The 17938-nt window shown below is 37.3% G+C and overlaps 1 long non-coding RNA gene across 6 annotated transcripts in view; it reads left to right on the top strand.

Moving 5' to 3' along the window:
- LOC105378316 (uncharacterized) overlaps positions 1-17938 on the top strand; it is a 69554-nt gene that overhangs the window by 42629 nt on the left and 8987 nt on the right. For 4 of the 6 annotated variants that reach the window (XR_945981.3, XR_945982.3, XR_945984.3 and 1 more), the window contains one exon: positions 4869-4930. The exons of the other annotated variants lie outside the window; for them this stretch is intronic. This is a non-coding gene — a long non-coding RNA (uncharacterized LOC105378316). The remainder of the gene's footprint in view (positions 1-4868; positions 4931-17938) is intronic. 6 annotated transcript variants of the gene reach the window in all.

Consider the following 17938-nt stretch of genomic DNA (forward strand, 5'->3'; position numbering starts at 1 on the left):
AGTCTAGATCAGGTCTTGACAAACTACAAATCTGGCCCATGCCCCGTTTTTGTAAATAAAGTTTTATGGGCACACAGCCACACCCATTTGTCTATATATTATCTATGGCTGCTTTTGCTCTACAACGTCAGTGTTGAGTAGTTGTAATAGACCATATGGCCCTGAAGGCCAAAAATATGGACTAGATGGCTCTTTATAGAAAAGTTTACCAACTCCTTGTTTGGAAAATCATACTTTTAAATTTTTCAATTAAAAAAGAAGTCATGGACATATTGTAATTCTGTGCCTCAGTTTCTCTAACTGAAAAAGGCATATATTATGCATATATTAGATGGCTCCTAAATAGGATCCATCTAGAATTGTTCGTCTATCATTTTTACGCATGGAGCCCAGGAATTTTTAATACATTTGGGCTTTCTGGTGGGTTCTTCCAAATGCTTTAATGAGAAAGAAAAAGCAGAAAGCAACCTTTAGTGACTTGAATGCCAAATATGTGAAGCTTTAATGTTTTTCTCTGAAGCCAGGTTCAGGAGATCTTGGTCACTGGGCCACTTCCTGGCTGATTTAACCATATTTCTAATTCTTTTTTTTTTTTTTTTTTTGTCTTTCAAAAAAAATCATTCTCTTTGTCTCCCCACTACCTCCTCTTCATACCACTTCCTCTCCAGGTTGGCCCCTGCCTTCTTGCCTTCCTCCAGCCTCCCTCCTTTCTCCAGTGGTTTCTTAGCTCTCCGTCCTCCCCCCAGCCAAATGTGAAGGAGAAAGTCTGCCAAGTCTCCCAGCCACTGTCAGCCTAGCTGACTGTAATGCTTCCAGCAGAACCTCCAGCTCAGGGCCCTCTGGCAGGGCCTGAACTCCAAGCAGCAGGAGGGACTAACGAGTTATAAGAAAGGGAAATACCAACAGTAATCTGCATCCTTTGAAGTTGAGGGTTGGGAAGCAGGGAAACTGAGAGATGTTTGACAATTTCCCAGGGGGTACCTGGGAAAGAGCCTGAGACTGGGGGTCAGGACTGTCTTTTCCAGCTCTGCCCCAGATTAAGTGCAGAGTCCTTGGGCTAGTCATTCATCATCCCTGAGCCTCAGTTTCTCTTTGTAAAATCAAGAAAATAATTTCTGTCCTGATTTTCCTGTAGGGCTTTCGTGATGATCATACATTTGTGATCATGTATGTGATTTATTTTTTAAATAAATATTTGATTTATATTTTTCCCATTTCAAAATTACCTCGTGCTTATGTGACAGAGGAACTTTTGTCAGTAGCATCTACCATCCTTCACAACAGAACCCCAATTTCCTTTGGGGAGTTAACTTACCACACCACTGCCTATATTTTACTGAGATGGAAAATCCAGCTGCCTGTGCCTCCTGTGGCCAAAGGTGGGCAGTCTCTTCAGCTCAACCCATGAAAGCTCGCTGCTGAGATTTTGACTTTTGAGCATATGAAATTGGGTGAGTGAAGAGGTTGGCATTCTTTTATCTTGGCAGGAATATCCCTGCCAGACTGTTCCACTGCAAGACTAGTCCTATCATTCCTGCTTTCCCGCCCCTGAAGCTGAATTGGTGTCTGCCTATTTCCAAGCCTAGTTCTCCAACTTTTGTGCAATGTTTTTAATAAATTCCCCTTTGTTTAAGTTGGCCAAATTTTTTTGTTGCTTGTAATCAAAAAACCCCAACTGACACACAAGCCTGATGTAGAGAACCATTTATAGAGCACTTATTTTGTGTGTGGAGAAGCAGATACTTTGCATACATTATTTAAATTAATCTTTACAAAAACCCTAAGAGGTGGCTGTAATTATTTCTAAATTACAAATGAGGAAACTGGGGCTCTGTGAGGCTCAATAACTTTCCCACATTTGTATGAGGAGCAAATGATAGAACTGAGTGTTGGAACCAAGGTTTGAACCAAGATGTCTTTGATTCCAAACATTTTAATATTTATGCCATGCTAAAATGATATAATAGTGGGCATTTTATTTTGCAGCCTGTGTTTTGGGATTAGGAATTTATTATGAACATCCTCATGTCAATAATATTCTTGAACAACATGATATATAATGGCAGTCTAATAGTCCATTGTTTGGATTCGCTACCATTTACCTAATCAAATTCATATTGATAGGCATTATGAAATGCACTGTAATGAATACCCTTGAACATTACATTTTGTACCTATCTCAAACTTTCTTCTGAAAATAAGTTACTGGAAGTGAAATTTCTAGGTTTAAAGCTCATGCATAATGTTAAGGTTTTTAATGTAATTGACAAATTGCCTGCCAGATAAATCTTACCAATTTTGTTCCCATTAATAGTGTGGATACCAATGTAAGCACTTTCTAAATGAAGAAAAATGCTAAAAACCTGTAAAGGGCTAATTAATTGAAGACATTCTTATTTATAGAAAAGGCAAAATGTCTTTCCAAATTACATCTATTACAATAAAATAATATATTTGGCCATAAAAAGGAATGAAATTGGCCAGGCATGGGGGCTCACACATGTAGTCACTGCAATTTGGGAAGCCAAGCCAAGAGGATCTTTAGAGAGCAGGAGTTCAAGACCAGTCTGAGCAACATAGCAAGATCCTATCTCTAAAAAAAAAAAAAAAAAAAAAAAATAGGCAGTCACAATGGCATGCACCTGTGTTCCAGCAACTTGGGAAGCTGAGGCGGAGGACAGCTGGAGCATAGGAGGTTGAAGTTAGTGAATCATGATTGCACCAGTGCACTCCAGCCTAGGCAACAGAACAAGACCGTGCCTCAAAACAAAACAAAACAGAAAAACAAACAAAGAAACAAAAGAGAAAATAAATCATGTAATTTGCAGCAACATGGATGGAACTGGAGGTCATTATGTTAAGTGAACTATGCCAGGCACAGAAAGACAAATATCACCTACTCTCCCTCATATATGCAAGCTAAAAAAGTTGATCTCATGGAGGTAGAGAGTATAATTGAATGATAGATATTAGAGGCTGAAAAAGGTGTGAGGGAGGAGGGGTGATGAACAGAGTTTGGATAATGGTTGCAGACATACAGTTAGATAGAAGGAACGAGTTCTAATGTTCATTAGCAGAGTAGGGTGACTATAGTTAACAACAATGTACTGTACATTTCAAAATAGCTAGAAGAGAGGAATTGAAATGTTCCGAATACATAGAAATGATAAATACTCAAGGTGATGGATACCCCAAATACCCTGACTTTATCATCACACATTCTATGCATGTAATAAAATATCACATGTATCCCATCAATAGATACAAATATTATGTATCAATAAAAATATTCAAAATTAAGATACAATTTGCAGTAAGATTAGTATTCAAATGTATAGGTATTGGGTTCCTATACACTTCCTAAAGAAAGGGAATTACTTTGGGCCAGGTGCAGTGGCTCATGCCTGTAATCCCAGAACTTTGGGAGGCCGAGACGGGTGGATCACCTGAGGTTGGGAGTTTGAGACCAGCCTGGCCAATATGGCGGAAACCCCATTTCTACTAAAAGTGCAAAATTAGCTGGGCGTGGTGGTGCATGCCTGTAATCCCAGCTACTCAGGAGGCTGAGGCAGGAGAATCACTTCAACCCAGGAGGCGGAGGTTGCAGTGAGCCGAGATCGCGCCATTGCACTGCATCCTGGGTAACAAGAGTGAAGCTCTGTCTAAAAAAAAAAGGGAATTACTTTGATTCCAAGGGTTTTTTTAGCAGCCAAGTCAAAGAGGGAAGCTAGAGATGATGATAGTGGTGGTGGTGGTAGTGATGATGATGATGATGATGAAGATGATAATGATGATGGAGAGGAGACAGAGGGGGAAGAGAAGGAGGAGAATCCCGTAGGGCATCTGTGGTGGTCGTGTTAGCCAGTTAGATTTACTATTTTTTTGAGACTTTGTTTTGGCATTCCTGCAGGAGACAAAAGAAAGGGAAGTTTCTCCTCAGACTTTCGGTAGCCTTGTGGTAAGAAGGCAGCTGGGCCACCCAGACTTACATATTTGAGGCAATAAACAGTGATCAAAGCAGTATGATTTCAGGGGAACAAAACTCTTCCACTCCATATACCTCCCTCTTTATTTCTCAATAAATGCACATTGGTTTCCTTTGTAAGAAGGCTACATTAAGATGCAATTTGACATCTGAAAAAGTTATACAATAAGCTATTTCCCACCATAAAAACTCTAACTGAAATTGGTTCGTAAATTTTATTCCAATCATTTAACAAAACCTAAGAGGAGGAAATACAGGACTGGACTATTTTCAAAGGGAAAAGTGAACTAGAAAAGTCACAATGATTGTGAATGGGGTAAGGGATGCTTCTAGGAAGTTTAGGAGACTTTTGAGCACCAAATGAGAGCTTGAGGCTTCAGATGGCCTGGAGTGAGCTTATAAAGAGCTATTGAAAGTGAGATATGTAATAGCAAGAAATGAAAATGAACTTTGCACTAAATGATAAGTACTAAAGATATGTTATAACAAAGCCAGTAATAGTGTTTAAAGTAAGAAGCGAGAGTTCCCCACCAATCAAACCCTCATGCGCACACACACACACACACACACACACACACATTGTATTTCATTGATTCTAGGACCCATGTTTTGCAGTTTAACATCTCTGAAACTGGAATGCGTTTGATAATCAATGGTGTGTCATGGTTAGTTGGCAGCATTTTTTTTTCTTTACTAGTGATACATAAAGAAATGGTGCATATTAAAATCTATGGTGTCTTCAATTTGAAGTGTGTATGAGAGAGAAGGGGGAAATACTGTCTTGTCATAGGAAATGTCTGGAAGTAAATTTTGATTACTTATACTATTTACCTTCCTAGTTTCTATTGTCTTCTCATTTATTCTTTTTCTTAATTTGAAAAAGGACCTTAGAGATGACTGAACTCAAAGTCTTCATTCTACTAAGGAGAAGATGGGCCTGAGGTGGTAGGTGACTGGTCCCCATCACAGGTGTTTGGGGTGTGGTGGGCCTGTGAGTATATTCAGAGCATATCTATATGTTCATTCTTTCCCAGAAATGATTTACAAATTACAGAGGGTTGGGAGCCCCAAGTGACAGGATCTGTTTGGAACTAGAAGGACCAAGAGTGATGAGGACAGAGTACTGCCCTTTGAAATGTGCTCCTTGATAACACCAACCCCAGAAAGGGAGGATGAGGGAACTGATCCTGGCCTGGGACAGCCAGTCAGTATTAGTGTGGTTTAGTTTTCCTGACTAGACGTCCTCCTTCCCTCTCTTTCCCTCCCCTCCCCTTCCCTTTCCTTCTCTTCCCTTCCCTCCCCTTCCCTTTTCTTCTCTTCCTTTCCCTCCCCTTCCTCACCTTCACTTCCCTTCCCTCTCTCACCTTCCTTTCCCTCCCTTTCTTCCTCCCCTCCTCATCCCCTCCCTTCCTCCTCCCCTTGCCTTCCTTTCCCTCTCCTCCCTCCCCTTCTCTACCCTCTACTATTCTCTCCTCTCCTCCCCTCCCCTCCCCTCCCTTTCCCTTCCCTCACCGTCCCTCCCTACCTCTCCCCTCTCCTTCCCTCCTCTGCCTTCTTCTTCTCTTTCCTTTCCTTCCTTCCACACTTTCTTCCTTCCTTCCCTTCCTCCCTCCTTCTTTCCACCTTTCAACTTTAAATGTTTGTGAGGCATGATAAGAGAGTGAATTTAATTATCCTATTGAGTGAGGAGGGTGCCCTGGCCTTCTTGGCAACAAAAAAGACACCTGTTGCCCTCTGTTCTCCCCCTACACATATGGAAATGAGTCAGAGCTGCATTATTATTTGCTACGGTTTGAACTCCTCCTCCAAAGTTTATGTGTTGAAAACTTAATCCCCAAGGCAATAGTTTTGGGAGGCAGGGCCTAATAAGAAGTGATTAAGACATAAGGGTTCTGCCTTCATGAATGGATTAATGTCGTTATCACAGGAGTGGCTTAGTTATTTGGAGGGTGGGTTTGTTATAAAAGTGAATTCTGCCTTCTCTCTTCCTCTTGCCTTCTGCCGTGGGATGGTATAGCAAGAAGGCCCTCGCCAGATGCTGGCATGTTGGTATTGGACTTCTCAGCCTCCAGAACTATGAGAAATAATTTTCTTTTCTTCATAAATTACATAGTCTGTGGTATTGTGTTATAGCAGCATTAAACAGACTAAGACAGTATTTAAGTGTAGAATTGGGTTCTAGAGGGCCTGGATGAGGCACAGTGGTTACACTTTTCCCTCCTGAAAGTCCAGAAATTGTCCTGCCTCATTTTTTTTGCTCCCTTCTAACCTCCCTTCTCTACAGTTTTCTTCTATTAAATGATAGCCTGATGATTGATCCTAAGGTCAGACTGAAATGCAGATAAAAATGTCCTCGCAATCTCTTCTCCAGTGACTCTCTTTTTTGAATGTTAGAGGGGCCATTTTAGCTGTGTGACCTTGGGAATCTCAAAATACAGTTTGCTCATCACACATAGGCACATTGAGAAGATTAAATGTGGTAATTCATGCAAAGTCTTTCCATTTCTTACTGTCAGACAAAAAACAGATATAAAAAATGTCAGCTATTTTTATTATTTTCTTGGAGTAGCACCTCTTCCCCTTTAGCAAGCATTGAATTACAATTCTTTCACCTTGATAACAAAATTTATTCTTAGAAATACTTTAATATTAGTTAATTACTGGTATTTGTGTGAATTTATGTTAACTGATATTCTCTCAATATTGTTTGCATTCCTCCATTTATTTTTGCAAAGTGTAAAGCCACTTCTCATATTGAAGGAAGTTTAATGAAGTCATTTTTTTGGGCAAATTGGTGGGGGGTAGGAAGGAGGGTCTTTTTATCCACTTTCTTTCCTACTTCCATCTTTATTTAAGGTTAATCCTATTGGCTACACAGGGATTTTTCCTGGTTCTAAGTGCTACTCTTGTGATAATCCCAGTCTTGTACACACTGATTCTACCCCTTGTTTTTCCAAAGTCTGCTCCCATTTAACTTCTCTGTTCCATTCTTGGCCTTTTTCTATTATCACCTTCTTCCTTTCCCTGGTGATAACACCCTAGCCAAGCTGCCACTCAGCTATTTCCACAGCAGACAACTCTCTCACATGCCTCAAATCCTCTTTAGTTCTCCATCCATTCAACTCTGCACATGAAAGTACACTCTTCCTTCTACTTGTGAATTCAAAAATGACTTTCATCATACAGGAGACTGTGGCAAGACAACAGTATCCAGGAGAAGGAAGCCGTAGAGTTTTTTGTATTTTTATTGCTTTTATTCTGATTATAAAAGTAATACATACTATCTTAAAAAGTTTGAACAGTATAAAAATATACAAATGAGAAAGAGAGTCAGTCTCATGCAATCTCACTTGCAAGAGGCAACCACTAATAATAGTTTGGGACACATTGGCCCAAACTTTTATTTCCTAATGGTGTTAAATGTTGAGGTATAATTAGGCATAACGGAGAAGAGTTGGTTTCCCGAAACTCTTAAAAAGTCTTTGAAAATAACCAGATCTGCTTCTAGGAATCAGCATAATACTTCCAATAAAATGTGTTCTTCCTCAAGCCAAACATTCACAATACATGAAACGAGTTCTTAATTCAATGCACTGTTTTGTTTAATAGCTACCATTGCTACAGTATTGTATCACACTATTTTCTTAATAAATAATGTGGGCTTCAGATTCTTGATAAGTCAAGCAGGTATTTGTGGCCTAATCTTGAAATTCAACTACCATTAAAAACATTATTTCTGTAAGGAAATACATACTGACAAAGTCCAGCAACGGAACTTGGAAACAGCCAATACTTACTTTCAAGTGAATGCAGCTTTCATGTAGATTTAGAGCAGATTTCACTTTCTTAGGCGGTAAAGAAAACCTAGTTGAGGACCCAGCGCTACCTCAGTTGGTTAAAACTTTCAGTAAATCATTGAACTTCATTTGGTTGCCTGGAGCTTCCTATGTAATATTATAGCAGATATCATCTCTATGCATGAACATTACATTGTAGCTAAAAATGAACACAAAAAATAATGACTTGAGAATGGAAAATGGGTCTATTGTTTTTAAAAATCCACTCAAGTTATTAAAACAAAAAGTTGATTTTAGGGCTAAAACTGGCAAAAGGAGGCACATTAAGTATAGCTGAGTTGAAAAGGCAGTGAAACTGAAAAACTGGGACCTGAGACTGTTCCACCTTGTGGTTCTTTCAAAGAACCACACAGCCTGCATCTGCATTCTCTGCATGTTGGCTATCCCTGGGGTTCATAACTTTGACTGACACATGATGATTTTGGCCAGGAGCTTTACACTGATCCTGACTTTAATGTCTCTGATATTCAGCTTCCCCAGCAAATTGAGCCAGAATTTCAAATTCTCAGGATGAAAAAAATCTGATTGGCCCAGATGGTGTCAAATATCTACCTGTTGTCTAATCAACTGTGATTAGGGATGCAGAAGAGACTGTAGGTGGGAGTAGATTCTCCTAGAAAAAGCAGTGGCAGTAATGGGCAGGACGCGGTGGCTTACATCTGTAATCACAGCACTCTGGGAGGTTGAGGCAGGTGAATCACAAGGTCAGGAGACTGAGACCATCCTGGCTAACACGGTGAAACCCCATCTCTACTAAAAATATACAAAATTAGCCAGGCGTGGTGACGGGTGCCTGTGGTCCCAGTTACTCGGGAGACTGAGGCAGGAGAATGGCGTGAACCCAGGAGGTGGAGGTTGCAGTGAGCCAAGATCGCACCACTGCACTCCAGCCTGGGCGACAGAGTGAGACTCTGTCTCAAAAAAAAAAAAAAAAAAAAAAAAAGAAAAAGAAAAAGAAAAAGCAGAGGCAGTAATGACGATGATATTTAAAATTAATACAATTTAAGAGAAAAAAAGAAACTTCATATCTCTCAGTTCTAATCCTTCTTTGGAGGCCCTTATTTTCAGTTTAATTCAATTCAACAAAACTCAAATCTCTTCAATTCTAAGACATACTTTTTCATAATTTAATGTGTCTGATATCTAGTTCTGCCTCATAATCAATGTGTTCATTTAATGATTTAATGTGGTAGTATTTCTTCTTCCCTCCTTCCCCTACAGCCAAAAACTATTATTAAACTGGTGAGGTTTTAAGACAGAGGAAATATGGTATGTATTATCAACAGGCATCAATTGCTTTCCATGGAGGATATAATTAAGGAGCCACTAGATATGGGGGTTGGTTGAAAGACAGGGAAATGTTCCAACATCTTTTTCCTACCACCCCTTAAATCGTGAACCAAAAGAAAAAGGAGGCTACATTCCTCTTCGCTTTAAAAGATGAAGTCCATTAAAGATTGTAAGGTGGTCTCAGGATTTATAGCCCTGAGAAGCAAATATTTATTTTATAGAATAATAACTATCAGTACTGACTGAGCAGGAAGTCAACACCAGAGCATGTGTGGGCACAAAATGTAGCTTCATATGCAACCAAATTCCAGGCAATTGCCTCGTCTAATTCACTCAGAATTTTTTAAAAAGAATGCTTCCTTTGAAACTGAAGTTCTTTCTACTTGGTTTCAGCCCAAAGGTGAGCATTTTTTTGAGAAGGTTAAATCTTTTCAGATGTTTTTGAGGTGCACAAAGAGGAAAAACTAAACCATTCTCTATTATGCATACTTCTAGCTTCACATTACCCAAATGGATTTGAGCTTTACTATTTTTATTCAATTTTGAGAGTCCAATGATCTGCGCAGAAAACTAGCTGATGGAAAAAAATTCATGTCAAATTAGTTCTGAAAATAGCTACTTTTATACTTGCTTAGAAGAGTAAACTTTTCAAACTATGTGAGAGGTACACTTAAGATAAGGCCTATATATAGAAACCCATCAGTTGGAAAACTGGCAGATAGAGTCTGTTAAAGTTCCAGAGAAAACTTGAATCAAGTTTAAGGAAATAGTTAACCTTTAAAGTATCAGTGGATTGGAAAAATAGAACATTTAAACTAGTAATTGAGGCTGCATAATGTATTGGTTGAGCTTTGACACTTGTATCAAGGACCAGTATGTCCTTGGTTATGTTGCTTCCCCTTTCTGTGTCTCAGATTTTATTTATAAGGTGGTCATGATAGAAGAACCTGCTTCCAAAGTCGGGGTGAGCATCAACTCAGGAATACAAATAAGACACTTAGAACCATGAATGGCACACTGTAAGCTATCAATGAATGTTTTCCACTAATTACATTGAAAACCACCTTTCAATAAAGACAAATATCATTTAATTTAGAAATAAACATTGCCATTTTAATGATCACTCCATTTTTAAACTCATTATTTTCAAACACAGTGGAACTGGTTTTCTTATTTTAGTGATTTCAAGTAATACATCAAGTCTTTCTTTGCAGCTGTTGCACATTCTCCCTGTCAAATTGGACAGACTGGACCATTTGGAAATGGGATAGTTTCTGAGTATGAGCTATTCAAAATGCGTAGTAAAAATTCCATGCTACTTATTAGATCACACATTTGGAGATATTCTCCTGACACTTGCAATGACTAAATAAAAGATGACTCATGTAAAAACTGTAGACTCTGTTGGCTCCAAGCAGCCCCAACTGGGCCCATCCATACCCCACCACCCCCACTGTTAGCCTTGCCTAAGAACCATAAAACATGGGTATCCTTGATGCTACAAGCAATTTTAAATAGCTTTATACATTTATTTTGTATGATGCTAATAATACATTCTGGGGTTTTCATTTTAAGACTGACTAGGCCATAGCTCCATGCTTATCATAAGTGACAATTTTGCAAAGTGCCTTGAAACATGGTAAACATTCAATTTGTTCAGTGTCTTAATAAAAATGAAGGGCAAATTTATACTATGAACAAATATTGATTTCCATATTATATGTGTTCCTAAAAATCATACTGTAGACTAATTTTTTATAAATAAAATATGTGTTATATTGGCTTTTCATATACTTACATTAGTATTTCTGATACTCTTCTACTTGTCTACAGACATTTAACACTTAAGGTTTAGGTGTTTCTTCCATCTTCCTATTTCACCACCTGCCAATACCTACTTCCTCCTCCAAGTCTCTGTCAAGTAGTTTATGATATGGAGACATCCCTTTTGAATTACAATAATCAGCCCTTACTCACAATTTACCCTTTGCAATTTTTTTAATTGAGAAAAAAATTTTTTTGAGACAGAGTCTCACTGTGTCACGCAGGCTGGAGTGCAGTGGTGCCATCTTAGCTCACTGCAACCTCCCACCTCCCACGCTCAAGTGATCCTCCCACTTCAGTCTCCCATGAAACTGGGACCACAGATGTGCACCACCACACCCAGATAATTTTTTATTTTTTTTGTAGAGACGGAATTTCACCGTGTTACCCAGGCTGGTCTTTATCTGCTTGCTTTGGCCTCCCAAAGTCCTAGAATTACAGGGGCCTCTTGCACATTTTAATTTCCATGTGACAGATTGTCTTTAAGTAGGAATGTACTTATAAATACATTTATTTCAACACCAAAATATAAATAGAAAAATAGAAAATAAATTTTAAAGATAAGTAATATCCCAAATGTTATAACCCCAGACTTAGTGATTTGCAACAATATCAATCCTAAGAGAAAAATTTGGGTTAAATCTCTTAAACGTAACAAGAAACCTTGTTATATTTATGACACAAAAACCAAGGTATCCATTTTCCCTTAGCACAAATAATGTGTTGGCTAGCTAAGAAGGGATGTAATTATGTGGTATACAATAAAGGGTTCCATTGATGCCAAAAACAGAAAAATGAGTGAACCCGACCAGAAATCATGTATTGGGTAAACAGCTTCCCAGACAAATGAATTTAGCTGATTTTTAAAAAAGCGTTTTGTTTTGTTTTAAATTTTCAGTTTTATGATCTTTATGGATAGATCTGAACTCTATATACATATATTTTTAATTGAAGTACATGGTTCAATATTACATATTTAATTCCATGAAATAATGTAGTTGCATGCTTGACGGAATAAATAGACGTACTTTGGGATACTACTTTCAGGACTTTACCAAGCAACTTAAAGCTAACCTTCATACTTTTTGTAAATAGGTGTTAGGGGCTGGTTGGATGACTCGTCATGAATTATGTAATTGATATCTTTAGTTTTCTTTTTTTAACTTCTCAGGAAGGAGAAAAATGTAATTTTCTTTGGTAGGAAGATGCATAATAGTTATAATTTTTAAAAATGTCTGTCTGATCATTTGGGATTATATATATGTGTGTGTGTGTGTGTGCTTAAAATTTTAAATTTAAGATAATTTACATTTTCTTAAAAGATAAAATAGAAAATACAGAGAAGCCAAAATTGTTTTAAATTTATAATCTAATCCACTCAGAGATAATCACTGTTAATTTTAATACATATACATCCAACCTCTTGCTTCCTCACATTTTTGCAATCAAGATTTTTAAAAACGGCATGTATTTATGACATAATAACATAAATATATTTCTGATAGCTGCTTCTCCAACCTACCAGTATATGGTATGGATATTTTCCCACATCACTTTATGGAAGCTTTGCCATTTCCTTTTATGGTAGGACCCAGTGAGTCACAGAAAATTGGCAGCTTTGGAGGCATCCAATTATTGTACTCCTGACGTAGACATTAGAATTGAGATGTTTTCAAAGCAGTTTTGTAAGAAGTGGATATGGATAAATGGGAGCTGGAATAGTACATTGTGCTTATAGACTAATAATGAATTGTTCTTATAGACTAATGTATGAGAAGATATAATTTTGTCTTTCAAAGGACCTTTTGAGATGGTACTAAATTCTTGCTTTAGCAGGTGAGGATGTGTTCGGTTAAATATAAATGTGAATTTCCTGTAGATAGTATGTAGTTTGGGTCTTATTTTTTAAATTCATTCAGCCACTGTACGTCTCTTGATTGGAGAGATTAATTCATTTACCTTTAAAGTAATTATGAATAGGGAAAAATTTACTATTGCCATTTTGTTGTTTTCTGTTAGTCTTGTAGTTCTTCTGTTAGTCTTTTCCTCTCTTTGTGTCTTTCTTTGAGTTTTCTAGATTTGCTTCCTTTTGTGCGATTTCTATAGGTATTCTTTGTATGTGGTTATCTTGGAGTCTATATAAAATACAGTCACAACAGTCTATGTTAAACTGATAACAACTTAAATTCAATTATAAACAAAAACTAACTTCTCTGCCCCCTACACATTTTACAACATAACATTATTGTTGTTACAGGTTTTATTTATTCATATTATGTACCTTTTAATGCATTTTTATTGTCATTTTTAATACTTTTGTCTTTTAACTTTTATACTAAAATTAAAAGTCACTTACCTACCACCATTATAGTATTATAATATTCCGTATTTATGTATTTATCTTTATCAAAGAATTTCATATTTTCTTACTATTGTGTTGCTGTTCAGCATTTTTTCATTTCAACTTGAAGAACTTTTAGCGTTTCTCATAAAGCAGCTCTAGTGGTAATTAACTCCCTCAGTTCTTGTTTTTCTGGGAAAGTCTTTATTTTTCCTTCCTTTTTGAAGGTCTGGTTTGCCAAGCATAGCACTCTTGGCAGTTTTTTCTCTCATTATTTTGAATATTAATATCTCATTGCCTTCTGGCTGGCAAGTTCTGTGCTAAAAAATCACTGATAATCTTATAGCCAATTCAATTTTCAGAAAGAAAAACAAAGCTGAACATGTTGCCCTTCCTGATTTCAAAGTACATTACAAAGCTACGGTAATGAAAACGCTATGGTACTAGCATAAAGACAGATATATAGACCAATGGAATGGAAGAGAGAGCCCAGAAATAAATCTATGCATATATGATCACCTAATCTTCAGTAAGGGTGCCAAGAGTACATAATGGGGAAAAGATAATTTATTCAATGTTGGGGAAACAGAATATCCACATGCAAAAGAAAAGAAGAAAATTATACTCTATTATATCATACTCGAAAATAAATTTAATATACCTAAAGACTTAAATATTAGACTTGAAGCTGTAAGATTCCTAGCACATGAGGAAAGCCTCATGGCATTGGCCTTGGCAATTATTTTTTGGGTAGGACAAAATACCCAAAAGCACAGGACAGGCAACAAAAGCAAAAATAAACAGTGGTACTACATCAAACTAAAATGCTTCTGGACAGTAAAGGGAACAATCAATACAGTGAAAAGACAAACTATAGAATGGGAGAAAATATTTACATAACAAATATCTGATAAGGGGTTACTCTAAAAAAAATAAGGAACTCCTATAAGTTAATAGCAAAAAAATCTAATTACCCGATTAAAAAATAGACTAAGGACTTGAATAGACATTTCTCCAAAGAAGACATGCAAATAGCTAACAGTTATATGGAAAAATGCTCACTGTCACTAATCATTAGAGGAATTCACATCAAAACCAGAATGAGATATCGCTTTACACCAGTCAGGATGGCTATTACATATATAAAAAAGACAACTAATGTTTGTGAGGATGTGGAGAAATTAAAACCCTTGTATGCTGTTTGTGGGTATGCAAATGGTACAGTTGCTATGGAAAACAGTGTGGAAATTCTTCAAAAAAGTAAAAATGGAGCTAGCATATGATCCAGCAATCCCACTTCTGAATAGTCATCCAAAATAATTAAAATTGGGATCTTGAAGAGATATTAGCACTCCCATGTTGATTTCAGGACTATTTATAATAGATGTGGAAGCAACCTAAATATTCATTGTCAGATAAATGTTTAAAGAAAATATGGTATATAGATAGAATAAAGTATGATTCAGACAAAGTAATAAAGGAAATTCTACAATATATGACTACGTGGATGAACCCAGGGGACATTAAGCTAAGTCACAGAATAAGTCACAGAATAAGTCACAGAAATATAATTACTGCATGTTTCTACTTATGTGAGGTACATAAAATAGTCAAATTTGTAGAATCAGAGTGGGATGGTGGTTGCCAGGGGCTGGCAGGAGGGGGAAATGGGAAGTTACTAATCAATGGGCATCAGGTTTCAGTTAAGTCAAGATGAATAAGTTCTAGAGATCTGCTGTACAACTTTGTACCCATCAATGACAATACTGTATTGTCACGAGAAATTTTGTTAAGGTGGTAGATCTCATGTTATCACACACACACACAGTATTTTTTTTTTTACAGATAAAACCCCTCAATTCTCCCAACTATAAATATGGTCCCCATTTGCTATTATAGTTTGCTAAAGCTGGACCAGCATTCTTCTATCCCTATGTATGATTTATACATTGACAAATCAAACAAGGCACCAGGGTCCAGTTATGAGAACAAAAACCACACTAGTTATTTTTAAAAGAAAGAATTTAATAAATGAAATTGATCAAACAGTATGACAAAAAGGGAACATTATGGTAATACATATAGATACATTCAGAGAGCAATTATGCCACCCATGATTGGGGGAACAAAGGAAAGAGGTAGATTATTAAAACCTGCAAGCTTGGGGGGGTCCTGTGAAGCTGGGAATAAAACCTCCCAGCGGTGGTGGTACCATCTTCTGAGGGCATGTGATGAGGCTGGTTCTGGCAGTGATGGAATAAGTGGGAAACCAGAAGTAGACTTTGTCACTGGGTTGAAAGGACATTGCTGGGCAGCAATGACAAGAATGGGAAGCACAAGGAAAAGAGCAAGTCCCTTCTTCCTCCTCTAATCTTCCTGTCTCTCTCTATTGAATCAATTTATAGAACCTAACAGAAGCTGCTCTCACAAAAGAGAAATGGCATTTGCAAAGCCCCAGTCCCAGTATCATAGTCCCAGTATATAAAAGGGTGGCTTGTAGCTGAGAGTCAAGAGCTTAATCCAGCACTAGTCTGCTTGGATATAAATGCAATTCCCATTTTGTACTCACAGGATGCTAAGAGAGACCTGGACATTTTTGTTTCTCTGGTTATAAGTTATTCAAAACCACAAGCAAAGAAGCCTATGAAAAAGACAAGTTGTCTAAGTAAGCATAAGTTTATGATATGCTATGTAAATGGAACATCAAAGCCTGGACAACAGCACATTCGTTTACAGCGTGGTTTTAAGCTCACTGTTGAGATCTGCTGCTCAAAATAAAAGATTCCTTTCCAAATGGTAACTGAATTATCCACTGATCTATACTTAATAAGTAAATTCAGGTGATTTGTCATAGACAAAGAGAAGTTATTTCCAAAGTTATTTTAAAAATCTTTTTGAAAAATAACTTAAAATTGAAGGACTTAATATGTAAATCCAATATTTCTAAAGCAATTGGGAAAAGGTCACATTATTTGATTTAATAATTTGAACACTTACTCTAACTCTGCATTCCACTGGACATATTTAGAACCAGCAGTAAGATGATAGTAAATGGCTGCAAAATGTGAACAGGCACCATACAACGAGGCCTATTTCTCTTTTTCTGCTTCTGTTATTTGATTCCTTTCTTGAAGTGCCTCTCCTTTTAAAGACTGTCAAAATAATGATATTAAAACCCTGAAAAAAATAATATGGTTTTGAAAAAATAAGAGAAAAGAAAAAATAAGATAAAAATTCTATTGGTTACAGGCATACTTTGTTTTATTGTTCTTTATTTTTTGCACATCAAAGATAACACATTTTTTAAAAATTGAAGATTTGTGGCAACCCTGTGCTGAGCTAGTCTATCGGCACCATTTTTCCCCCAGCATGTGCTCACTTCTTGTCTCTGTGTCACGTTTTGGGAAATCTCATAATATTTCATTATTGTTACATCTGTTGTGATGATCTGTGATCAGTAATGTTTGATGTGACTATCGTGATTGTTATGGAGCACCACAAACTGCAGCCATATAAGACAGAGAGCTTAATCAGTGAATGTTGTGTGTGTGTTTTCACTGCTCTGCTTACTGATTGTTCCTTTTCTCTCCCTCTCCTTGGGTGTCCCTGTTCCCTGCAATACAACAATATTGAAATTAGGCTAATTAGTAACCCCTCAATGGCCTCTAAATGTTCAAGTTGAAGGAATAGTCGTATGTCTCTCACTTTAAATCAAAAGCTAGAAATAGCTAAGCTTAGCTATTTCGTGTCAACAGCTAGGATAGGCCTAAAGCGAGGCCTCCTACACCAAACAGTTAGCCAAGTTGTGAATGCAAAGAAAACGTTCTTGAAGGAAATTAAAAGTGCTACTCTAGTGAAAGTACAAATGATAAGGAAGCAAGATAGCCTAATTGCTGATAGGGAGAAAGTATCAGTGGTCTGGATATAAGACCACACCAGCCACAACATTCTCTTAACCCAAAGCCTAATACAGAGTTAAGGCCCTAACTCTCTTCAAATCTTTAAAGGCTGGGAGAGGTGAGGAAGCTGCAGAAGAAAGTTTGAAGCTAGCAGAGGTTGGTTGATGAGGTTTAAGGAAAGAAGCTGTCTCTGTAACATAAAAATGCAAGATGAAACAGCAAGTGCTGATGTAGAAGCTGCAGCCAGTGATCCAGAAGATCCAGCTAAAATCATTGGTGAATGTGACTATACTAAAGAGATTTTCAATGTAGATAAAACAGTCTTCTATTGGAAGTATATGCCATCTATGACTTTCCTAGCTAGAGAAGAGAAGTTGGTGCGTGGCTTCAAAGTTTCAAGGGATAGGCAGTCTCTCTTGTTAGAGGCTAATGCAGCTGATGACTTAAAGTTGAAGCCAATGCTCATTTACTAATCCCAGGGCCCTTAAGAATTATGCAGAATCTACTCTGCCTGTGCTGTATAAATGGAACAATAAAGCCTGCATGACAGCACATCTGTCTCTAGTATGGTTTACTGAATATTTTAAGCCCACAGTTGAGACCTTGGACTAGTCCCTTCTCATACTGATATAAAGAAATGCCTGAAACTGGGTAATTTATAAAGAAAAGAGGTTTAATGGGTTCACAGTTCCACAGGCTATACACGAAACATGGCAGGGGAGGCCTCAGGAAACTTTCAATC

The sequence above is a fragment of the Homo sapiens genome, chromosome 10 (genome assembly GCF_000001405.40).
Source record: "Homo sapiens chromosome 10, GRCh38.p14 Primary Assembly".
Taxonomy (NCBI): domain Eukaryota; kingdom Metazoa; phylum Chordata; class Mammalia; order Primates; family Hominidae; genus Homo; species Homo sapiens.